We start from the raw sequence: 11,515 nt of genomic DNA, 5'->3' as shown, positions 1-11,515 counted from the left end.
CCTTACTTCAACTTTCTTTTTTTTTTTTCTTTGGAAATGGAGTTTCACTCTTGTTGCCCGGGCTGAGTGCAGTGGTGCCATCTTGGCTCATTGCAACCTCCGCCTCATGGGTTCAAGTGATTCTTCTGCCTCAGCCTCCTGAGTACCTGGGATTACAGGTGCATGCCACCATACTGGGCTAATTTTTTTGTATTTTTGGTAGAGATGTTGTTTCACCACGTTGGCCAGGCTGGTCTCAAACTCCTGACCTCAAGTGATCCTCCTGCCTTGGCCTCCCAAAGTGCTGGGATTACAGGTGTGAGCCACCATGTCTGGCCTCTTTTTTTGTCTGTTTTTTTTTTTTTTTAGATGATCTTGCTCTGTTGTCAAGACTGGAGTGCAGTGGCATCATCATGGCTCACTGCAAACTTGATCTTCCATGCTCAAGTGATCCTCCTACCTCAGCCTTCTGAGTAGCTGGGACTACCAGTGTGTGCCACCAGGCCCAGCTAATTTTTTATTTTTCGCAGAGGCGGGGTCTCACTATGTTGCTCAGGCTGGTCTTAAACTCCTGGGCTCAAGCCATCCGCCTGCCTTCCGCTCCCAAAGTGCTGGGATTACAGGTGTGAGCCGTTGCACCTGGCCTCAACTTTTCACGAGGGAACTAGAGACAAGCCCTTTATTTAGCCAAGAGTTTAGAAATCCAGGTATTTTCACTATTTCCATAGAATTTAGTCCTTGTCTGAACTGTGTCACTGTGCAGCACGTGGAGGGTTTTGTGGGGAGAGAGAATGTGAGTTTTGACATCAAACAGATCTGGTTTAAAATCCTGTCTCTGCCCTTTACCAGATATGTCATCTTGGGGAAATTACTTAGTTTCTTCAATTCTCAATTTTACCATCTGAACAATGGGATTAAAAAAACGCTAGAATTTTCATGAATACTAAATGAGATAATATTGGAAAAATGGCTGGTATATTATCTGACATATAGTAAGCCCCCAAGTGGCAGCTATTATTGTTATCCTAATATTATTCTAAAATATGAGGGTGAGCAGACTAGGTCATAATATTTATATGTGAGTTTTTCAAATAAGGGAAGCTTTACTTGGTGATCCTGGTGACTTTGCTCTAGGCCAGGCTGTTCAACACAGTTGCACATCAGGGCGGTGGTGCTTGTCGGAGTTCAGCTCCCCTTGTGAGGTGCTGCATGGCTCCAGTGTGAGCCTGATTCGGCAACACAGGGCTTCTATTAACCACACAGCCCCCTTATTACTCAGTCATGTCTTCTGTTAAGCACACAGTCCCCTTATTACTCAGTCATGTCCTTCATTCCGGACTGGGTCTGGGATGCCATCCCCAGACAGGGTTTAACTCATGGAAAAGTCAACCAATGTCTCTACAATGTGCTGCATGGACCACGGATCACAAGGTTGGGACATCCTAGTTTCTACTGACCAACTCCATCAAGCCGGAGGAGCACCAGCTTGGCCCCTTTATGCACACTGTGGAACAGTTACTTGGGCTCCAGAGGGAGTCTGGCGGTTGCATGTTCCCTGTTTCCTTCCATCTTCATTTCTGCATTGTGAGAGGGCAGTGGGTCTGGCTGAGAAGGGGGTGCAAAGCTGGGAGGGTGGGCGGGGAGCTTGGCCCAGGCCGACCTCCCTTGCCTTTGTAAGGGCTCTGGGAGGAAGGAGTTCTGCTGGGCCCCAGTTGCCCTCCTCCCTCCTTGCCCCCATCCACACTGGAAGGTGCCTTTCGGAGGAGCTTAGTTTAATGAGTTCCTGGGCTGAACCTCTCTGGACTGCTCCCACTCCTGTGGTCACTAACAACAGCACACTGGGGAGTGGGCGGAACTCCGAAACCAAGCCCATCTGTTTTGTCTCTTTAGATTCAAGACAGATGTTCCCACAATCTGGCGACAAAACTGCAGTCCTTGGAGAGACTGTGGGTGCCCTGAGTTTGCGGGTGGGGATAGGGGTCTACTGATGTGCAGTGACAGCGAGGTGGCGGACTTCTCCAGCTTCCTTGCAAAGCCCTGGGGAGCCAGGGCAGGCCCTGCTGGAATCCTGCAACAGGCGCCGCACCCTGCCATACACCTTCAGCAAATACGACAGGAACGTAAAACTTCCTGCCCTAATCCGTTTAAACTTAAAGCCTAGTAGGAGGTCACTATAGTGTTAGATTTTTGGGTCTGTTTTTTTTTTTTTCTATTTCAGAAAGATTTGTTTGTTTGTGAAGATCTTAAGGCCCAAATACCGAGAGCTAGAGTCTGTGCTGGTAAAATGAAGGCTGAAAATGACAAATGTTAGAAGTGAGCAAATAAGTTTATTATATATAATAGAAAAAAGCAAAATGTTAAATTTGACTTTGCGATGCATGGAATAATCTGCTGATGTTGGATGATGATGCCACCTCCTTGAAAACTCCCTTTCTAGGGAACAATAATTGCTAACATTATTGGGCACATATGATGTGGCAGGCTCTGTTCTATTATAAATACTTTTCATGTATTAAATCGTTTATTCCCCACGACAGCCTAATGAAAAAATGACTATTGTTATCTCTACTTTCTAAGTGAGGAAACTGAAGCGCAGCATGATTAAGCAACTTGCCCAAGGTTGCAGAGCTCATAAACGGCAGATCTGGGCCCAGGCAGCCTGGCTGTGTGCGCTACCCCTAGCAGGCTGCATTGTCTGTCCAATATAAGGCCTGTAAGATCGTGGCCAAGTCCTTCAAACTCCCTTTCTAGGGTACTTTCAAAGTACAGCTTTGTACTTCTCCTCTCCCAGTCCCTGAGCAAGAGTAGTGGGGTGGGCATGTTAAATACTTATGAGTAAGTGAATGCATTAATGCAAGATTTATAGTATGGTCAGCTGGTAGCAGCAAACCTTTTCTGTTAAGAAGCCCTTCCATGTTTTATCCAAAATACTTGCCCTTCTTACCACAGTAGCCCATGGCTAGTTACTCATTAGCTTCCTAGTACCTATGGGCCTTTTCCTATTCCAAGACCCCAGCTCTCTCCTTTGCTCTCATCAGCACAGTCCTCTCCTCACGTGTCCCACTTTGAGTTCTTCCTAAGATCCAGCACAAAAATACTCGGATGGGATTTCCATTTAACATGGCTTTTCATTACATGGTTTTGCTTATTACACGGATCAAATCAAGTTCTGAAACCATAATTACATTGGGAAAGGCTGCTCGCCAGCCCCAGAGTCAGTAGGGAGGGTGGAGTTGTGGGTGCACTGACAACTTTTCAGTGAAAACAGTTAAGACTGTGTTATCTCACAGAGGAAGCAGGGAAGCTGTGACTATTCTTCCCATATTAGAGATTAGAGAACATATGTAGGAACATATTAGGAACAGAGATGTGGCTTGTCCAAGCTTCCATGGGTGGAGCTCAGGGATCTCCTGAATTGTGGCTGGAGCCGCAGATGGAAGGCCTTCCTCTTCCTACTGTGTGGCAGCCTCATGACTTCCTAGACATCTCTGCCTCTCCCCTAACCCTCTCAGGCCATTCCTTGCCCTGGCAGATGGCTACTGCCAAGATTCTACCTTTGCGGAGGAAGGAAGGCTATGATGTATTTGTTCATGCACTGGTTCATTCATCCTGACTTTTTTCGCTCTTTCACAGAACCAGACAGTGGGGCAAAATCCAAGGTGGTGCTGGAGCGTCTCAATTCTATGGGATTCTCCTGTCAGCTCAGGATCAGAGTCATCCCATAACGAAAAGCTTTTCTACCATTTGCCTGGAACTGGGGCCTAGACCAGATGACATGGGTCTCTTCCAGGTCCCCCAGATGCTTAGGTTGGGTCCAAGTTACACTGAAAACGGTCCAGTGAATTTCCAGTCTGGTCCACACCCATCATTCCTGGAGCTGAGTGACTCAGGGCTCCAGAAGATACCTCAGTGCTAAGTCATCATCCCCGAGAGAAGAATGTTTCACGTTCAGGGATTCTGTCACCTGTGCTCTGGAAGCAAGTTCTAGGCCTTTTCACCCCAGCTTTCACTTTCATCCTGGGGTTTGCTATGGGAGCTGGCATTCTGCTACCCCATTTCCAGCTCTAGTGTAGTGACATTGCTGCGTTCTGTTTAGACTGTTTAGTGGGTCATGGCATCCTTGACCACCTCCTCCCTTTAGCCAATTTTTGATTTATTAAACAAAGTAGAGAGAAGAAACGTAGATGGCGTACATGGGATTTAGGGTATGGGGCTGTCTGCATGGCCTGGAGGCTGACCTACAGGAGATTGTGGGCGCAGCTCTCACTCACATGTTGTGGGTGTGTACACACCACATGGCTCAGCCCTCATTCATGGATCCTTCGGGTCTCAGTCCCCATTCATGGATCCTTTGGGTCTCTGTCCCTTGTGCTTTGATGCTACTGAGCTCTGGAACTTTAAGTCCGTAGCTGAGTTCTGTTCTGCCCACAGGTGACGCAGCTTCTGAATCTGAAACGCTGCTCTGGGTGATTTAGCACTGAGGTATCTTCTGAAGCCCTGAGTCAAAAATCTTTTCAGCGACTCAGCCATAGGCATCTAGGAAGACAAGCTTCCAGATTCACTGAGAACAGACTGTATGTACTGACATGCTGACATTAACTCCCATTCCCTGTAGGGACTTTCTCATGTGGAAGAGCAAATGCTGAGTGCTGGCAGGACCCTGGCAGTTTGATGATTTCCAGTGTTACCATTAGTCACTATGTGTACATTCTGAAGGTCCTCGTGTGGCCACTGCAGGGCACCAGCCTTTGGAAACAAATACACAGCTTTTGAGAAGCTGCTCATCTTTCATATATATGTGTCTAACTTTGATACACAATACATGTATATTTTTATTATATTAATAAATCATAAGTAACCTAAATGTCTACCCACAAGAGAATGATTAGATAAATTGTGGTGTACCCATAAATGGAATAATCTGTAGTCATTAAAAATCAGGCTTGGCAAACAAAAACATAAAGTGCGGAAAAGACTGCCTGTTCAACAAATGGTGCTGGGATAATTGGCTAGCCACATACAGGATAATGAAACTGGATCCTCATCTCTCACCTTATACAAAAATCAACTCAAGATGGATCAAGGACTTAAATCTAAAGCCTGAAATTATAAAAATTCTCTAAGATAACATTGGACAAACCCTTCTAGACATTGGCCTAGGCAAAGATTTCATGACCAAGAACCCAAAAGCAAATGCAACAAAAACAAAGATAAATAGCTAGGACTTAATTAAACTGAAGAACTTTTGCACAGCAAAAGGAACAGTCATCAGAGTAAACAGACAACCCACAGAGTGGGAGAAAATCTTCACAATCTATACATCTGACAAAGGACTAATATCCAGAATCTAAAAAGAGCTCAAACAAATGAGCAAGAGAAAAACAAACAGTCCTATCAAAAGTGGGCTAAGGACATGAATAGACAATTCTCAAAAGAAGATATACAAATGGCCAACAAACATATGAAAAAATGTTCAACATCATTAATGATCAGGGAAATGCAAATCAAAACCACAACATGATATCACCTTACTCCTGCAAGAATGGCCATAATCAATAAATAAAAAAATAATGGATGTTGGTGTGGATGCGGTGAAAAGGGAACATTTCTACACTGCTGATGGGAATGTAAACTAGTACAACCACTATGGAAAACAGTGTGGCGAATCCTTAAACAACTAAAAGTAGAACTACCATCTGATCCAGCAGTCCCACTACTGGGTGTTTACCCAGATGGAAAGAAGTCATTATATGAAAAAGATACTTGCACAGGCATGTTCATAGCAGCACAATTTGCAATTGCAAAATCGTGGAACCAACCCAAATGCTCATCAATCAACAAGTGACTAAAGAAACTGTGATATATTTATATGATGGAATACTACTCAGCCATAAAAAGCAATGAATTAATGGCATTTACACCAACCTGAATGGGATTGGAGACTATTATTCTATGTGAAGTAACTCAGGAATGGAAAACCAAACGTCATATGTTTTCACTCATAAGTGGGAGCTAAGCCATGAGAATGCAAAGGCTTAAGAATGACACAATGGACTTTGGGGACTCAGGGAGAAAGGGTGGGAAGGGTATGAGGGATAAAAGACTACAAATTGGGTTCAGTGTATACTGCTCAGGAGATGGGTGCACCAAAATCTCACAAATCACCACTAAAGAGCTTCCTCATGTAACCAAATACTACCTGTTCCCCAAAAACCTATGGAAATTAAAAGATGTATATATATCAGGCTTGGTCTGGAGTGGTGGCTCACGCCTGTAATCCCGGCACTTTGGGATGCTGAGTTGGTAGGATCACTTGAGCTCAGGAGTTCAAGATCAGTCTGGGCAACATGGCAAAACCCCCTCTTTACAATATATATATATATATATTTTAAATCAGGCTGATGTTACAGAGAAGTTCTTATGGTATTTTGCTAAGCAAAAAAAGCAAGCTGTAAAATTTTTTATGCAAAATGTGAACCCAATTTTGGACTCATTCCCCAACAAAAACAACAAAAACCAATGTTGTACATACTGTGTATATATGTGTATATAAACACTGAAAAATACCAAACCAATAAATATGAATATTCATTTGTCTCTTTATGCTTTTCTGTGTTTTCTTGCAGTGGTTGTGTATTAATTTTTGAAATGCTATTGCGTTTTTTTAAAAGGACACTTATGAATGGCATGTTTTGAAAACTCGTAGGGTAAGACCTTGAACCTTCCACCAACATACGCAAACTGTGCATGGAAATCAAGTGCTGCTGACGTGAGCTGGGCCCAGGGATTGCAGTCCAAGGATTACCAGGGGCATGGCTGTAACCTTCCGCTTCATATCCCTGAGCTGATTAGTCCCCTAATCAACTGATAAAGTAAAATAACACATGTTGTTCATAAGGGCAGCATAGCTCACATTCTTCACCCACATGGTGGGGCGTCTGGCCTGTGAGGGTCCCCTCCCTCTGCTTGGCTGCTCAGCTTGCCTGTAGCCGGTCCATATTCAGGGACAAGCAGGCACCACCAGCTTGACACCTGCTAGCACCTATCATCATTGAGCTCCATCACCTGCTGGTGACCCACACTAATACCCTTAGGGGCAGAGGATCCTGGCTACCTTCACCCTAACACTAACCAAACGAACCCCAAAGGCAGGCTGGACAAGGAGTTGCAGATGATGGCACATGGCCTGAAAGATGTGGGAAGGATTGGAGGACAAGTTGCCTGCTTTGCCTTGCTGGTGGGGAGGAGAGGGGCGAGGGCAGGGCATGTAGGCTTCCTGCTGGTTGTGTTCATGGGTTCCAGGCATCTCACATCAGCTGAAAGCCCCTCTGATCCATTGCCCAGATGCTGGCCATTGTAAAAAATGAAACAAACAAACAAAAAAACCCTGCTCCTTTGCCCTTCCAGAGAGACAAAACATGAGACCCAACCCCTTTTGGTCTTGGTCTCTAAGATGTTCGACCTTTAGGGTGATGTATGGAGTTTGGCTTTTGAGGGTCTAGAGGGGCACATGGGCAGTGCAGGTGTTAAGTAAGGGTGGCAAAGTAACAAAAGAGACTTGGCACTCGTTCAGTCATTCATTTGTCCACCTAATGCTTATTGAGTGCTTACCATGTGCACTGGGGTTACAGCAGGGAACACTACATATCAGGACCATGGTCTCATGGAACTCATATTCCAGGGTGACAGGAGGGAGATGAGAAGTAGTGAGTAAGACATAATTATAGTGATAAGCATTCTAAGGAAACTATAACAGCATGATGTGGTAGAGAGAACCTGAGGGTAATGGTACTTGGCTCCTGCATTATGCCCATAATGTCCACTGGGGCCCCTGCAGGGAGCATGGGAAATGATTCTCAGTAAAGTAGGAGGGGCCCCCCTGCCAAGGGCATCACAATTGAAATGAGGCTACTCTGTTTCTGTGTGTGTGTGTGTGTGTGTGTGCGCGTGTGCGTGTGTGTGTGTGTGTGTGTGTGTGTACTGGGGTGCTCCCTGTCAGCCTACATTTTTTTTCTCCTGAAACTTAAGGTGTGTGTCTTAGTCTGTTCATGCTCCCATAATAAATACCTTAGACTAGGTAATTATTCTGTTGTTTATAAAACAAAAGAAATCTATTTCTCACAGTTCTGGAGGCTGAGAAGTCCAAGAACTGTGCCGGCAGAGTCAGTGTTGAGTGAGGGCCCATTCTAGTCTATGTTTGGTGCCTTCTATGTTTCCTCACATAGTGGAAAGGGGCAAGAGAGCTCCCTCGAGCCTTTTTTTTAAAAATTTTTTTTGACATGGAGTCTTGCTCTGTCGCCCAGGTTGGAGTGTGGTGGCTCGATCTCAGCTCACTGCAAACTCCACCTCCCAGGTTCAAGTGATTCTCATGCCTCAGCCTCCAGAGTAGACTTTTTCTTCCCCCCCCGCAGTAAGGGCACTAATCCCATCCACGAAGGTGGAACCCTCATGATGTAATCACTTCCCCAAAGCCCCACCTCTTAATACTATTACATTGGGTATTAGGTGCCAACATGTGAATTTTGGGGGGACACCAACATTCAGACCATAGCAACATGTTTGGACTTGTCTCACTGAACAGTAAAGAGAACCCAGGAGATTGGTTTATATGTGGGCCTTTTAGATCATGGAAGGAGTTCAAAGGAGTACTGGGATCCCACGTAGATGGAGAAAACAACAGGGATCTGGCTTGATTGCTCCTATTCCCCTTCCCTCTGCCTCAGAGCCCAGCTTGATGAGCTCATGTTTGAGCTTTCTGGAGAGAACAGCTGCAGACAGAGCAGGAGAAACTCCTGTCGCTGAGGACGCCGAGAGACACGGGACTGGAAGCAGTCTGGCTGTGCATGGTTACGTGGCTATGTTTCCAGTATAAGAAATGCTCAGTCATGCTATTATTGCCATGATTTTAATAATGAAATATGAGACAGTAATAGGAAGGGGCCATTCCATACAAACGTAGCTTCAGTGCTGAGATTCCTGGGCACTCAGCCTAATTTTGGCATCTGAAAGGCCTGCAGGTTTGGGAGGACAGGGGGCCTGCTCCCTCTAGGAAGCCAGGAGGGCAGCCAGGATTGGGACAGTGGGCTTGTCAAAAGGTGGGAAGTGCGAGAGAGGAAGATGCAGGTGCCACAGAGGAGTGCAGAGGACTCTGCATGAGCTCCTTGAGATATTCCTGGGAATCTCAGACTTAGAAGTAGGCCCAAGATATGGGTTTTGGAATGCTAATACTGTAAAATGTTAAATTTTCTTTACTTAGAACAACATTAAATAGCAAATTTAAAAAAACCCACATGGCAAATAGAGGAGATGGACCATGAAAATTGTATGAAATAAAAAAGCTTTATATTTTAAAACTTTGAAAGATATTGTTTTCCTACAGATCTGGGTTCAAGAAATGCTCTGGCACTGACAATATATATGGCATTAAGTCACTTGACCTCTCTGCTCCACTCTTTTCTCATCTGTATAGTGGATATAATAATACTACCCATGTGGTTACTGAAAGGATTAAATGAGATAATAATGTGAATGAGACACATTATTAGTCCAGGGTCTGGCATGCAGTAAGTGCTCAATAACTAGGTAGAGGCTCCAGCATGGCAGCCCATTCCTACTCCCAGTCTGAACTGGTCTGGGGAAACTTGGGTGTGGACACAATGTGCTATTCAGCTTTCTCAGGTAATGATCCATTAGAAGGGACTGTTGGGTCCTCATGCTTTGCAGGTCACAGAGGGTGAGATATTCTATATGTGGATGTAGGCATGACAGACAGGGAGAGGCAAGGAACAGGGCCAGCTTCAAAGGTATGCAACCTGTGCAGTCTCACCAGGCCCTGTCTGCAAAAGGACCATGTGCTTGGTTTAATGTTGTGCTATCACCATCTTGAAATTCTTAATAATTTTCTCTTTGAACTTGTGTCTTGTAAGTGAAGTCTGATGGGATGATGGAGCATGCATGTTGAGGAGATGCATGCAATACATGGGTCTGCCATTCCTTGCTGTTCCATTTGCATGTAGCATTCGTCATGCCTCATGGACCACATAATGTGGGTGTACCCACAATGCGTGGGAGTTTGGGCAAAGTAAGTACAAGATGAAGGTGTTTCTATCACTGAGCAAGCTGGGTCCCTGCCAAAAGGTCATGCTGTCCATTCAAATCAGAACTTGTTATGAATGCGGAAAGAAGGCAATGGCATTCTAAGAAACAAAAACGACCAAGGAAACCTCTCACCTTTTCTTACTCCCTTGCATTTGCCAGCCACTTTCAGGGAAAAATAAGGATGTAGAAGGAAAGAAAAGATAGGCCAAACCATTGCTCTTTTTCCTTTCAGTCCTTCCTTATTCATTAGTAAACTGAAGGTAGAGAGTGTTGGTAGAACATGCGCGCAGCAAGTTGTGCAATGAAAACAATTTCATTAATTTTGTGTAGTGTCTCCACTGTTCCAGAAAGCATGAAATACATAGGCATGGCCTGGCGCGGTGGCTCATGCCTGTAATCCCAGCACTTTGGGAGGCCGAGGTGGGCAGATCATGAGGTCAGGAGTTCAAGACTAGCCTGGCCGACATAGTGAAACCCCGTCTCTACTAAAAATACAAAAATTAGCCAGGCATGGTGGCATGAGCCTGTAATCGCAGCTACTCGGGAGGCTGAGGCAGGAGAATTGCTTGAACCTGGGAGGCGGACGTTGCAGTGAGCTGAGATTGCACCACTGCATTCCAGCCTGGGTGACAGAGCAAGACTCTGTCTCAGGGGGAAAAAAAAATGCATAGGCATATGCACACCATGAAATGCAAACTATGCAATTTCAGTGACTCTACATAGAAATTATATGCCCTTATATTTGCATGTAAAACAGGTTTTGTGCAATATAGAGCTGAATGGTAAAATTCATGCTAATAATTGAAAACATCAATTTTTCTTTACTTAGAACAACATTAAATAGCAAATAAAAAACATATGGTGAATATAGACCATGAAAAAGTACATGAAAGAAAAATGTTTCATATTTCAATATTTTTAAAGGCCTTTTTTCCTGCTTTTTTAGTAAGAAACTCTATGTTGTCATTTTGCACTGGGCCCAACGAATTATGTAGTCAGTCCTGGCAGCCAGTTGATATATGTGTTGCAGAGTTTTAAAATTTTTCCATGTCACCCTCGTTGGGCCCCAGGGGAGCTTCCCCGCCACCTGGGCCATCTGGACCACCACGGAGCAAAGTTGAGTAGGGCTGTGTTGTCAGAGAGAGCCTCACTGGGCAAACAGCCTCCTCCTTTTTTTCTTGGATTTATCTTTCTTTTTCTAGAGAATGGCAAAGTCTAGAGTGCTCAGATGAAGGTGCTGGCCACCCTCAGCCAGATTTTCACTAAGGCTTCAGGCCTGCCTATTGCCTGTAAAAATACTTGGCTCCTTCTATCTCACCGGGAGACAACTAGGGAGAGCTTGTGGCCAAAGCTCCATCCAGGAAGACTCCCTGTAGGCATGTGTGTGTGTGTGTGTGTATGTGTGTGTGTATCTGCGTGTGTGTGTATCTGTGTGTGT

General features: G+C 44.8%; 2 annotated features.

The window, feature by feature from the left end:
• Positions 1,398-1,897: an enhancer, noted in NCBI's record as "H3K4me1 hESC enhancer chr1:92077299-92077798 (GRCh37/hg19 assembly coordinates)". NCBI's record gives its function as "activates a minimal SCP1, AML or CMV promoter by ChIP-STARR-seq in naive H9 embryonic stem cells {active_cell/tissue: H9 hESC(naive)}" and the evidence as "EXISTENCE:reporter gene assay evidence [ECO:0000049][PMID:30033119]".
• Positions 1,898-2,399: an enhancer, noted in NCBI's record as "H3K4me1 hESC enhancer chr1:92076797-92077298 (GRCh37/hg19 assembly coordinates)". NCBI's record gives its function as "activates a minimal SCP1, AML or CMV promoter by ChIP-STARR-seq in naive H9 embryonic stem cells {active_cell/tissue: H9 hESC(naive)}" and the evidence as "EXISTENCE:reporter gene assay evidence [ECO:0000049][PMID:30033119]".

Source organism: Homo sapiens, chromosome 1 (assembly GCF_000001405.40).
Source record: "Homo sapiens chromosome 1, GRCh38.p14 Primary Assembly".
Taxonomy (NCBI): domain Eukaryota; kingdom Metazoa; phylum Chordata; class Mammalia; order Primates; family Hominidae; genus Homo; species Homo sapiens.
Note: the sequence above shows the minus strand (reverse complement) of the source record. Positions and strands in the feature narration are given on the sequence as shown.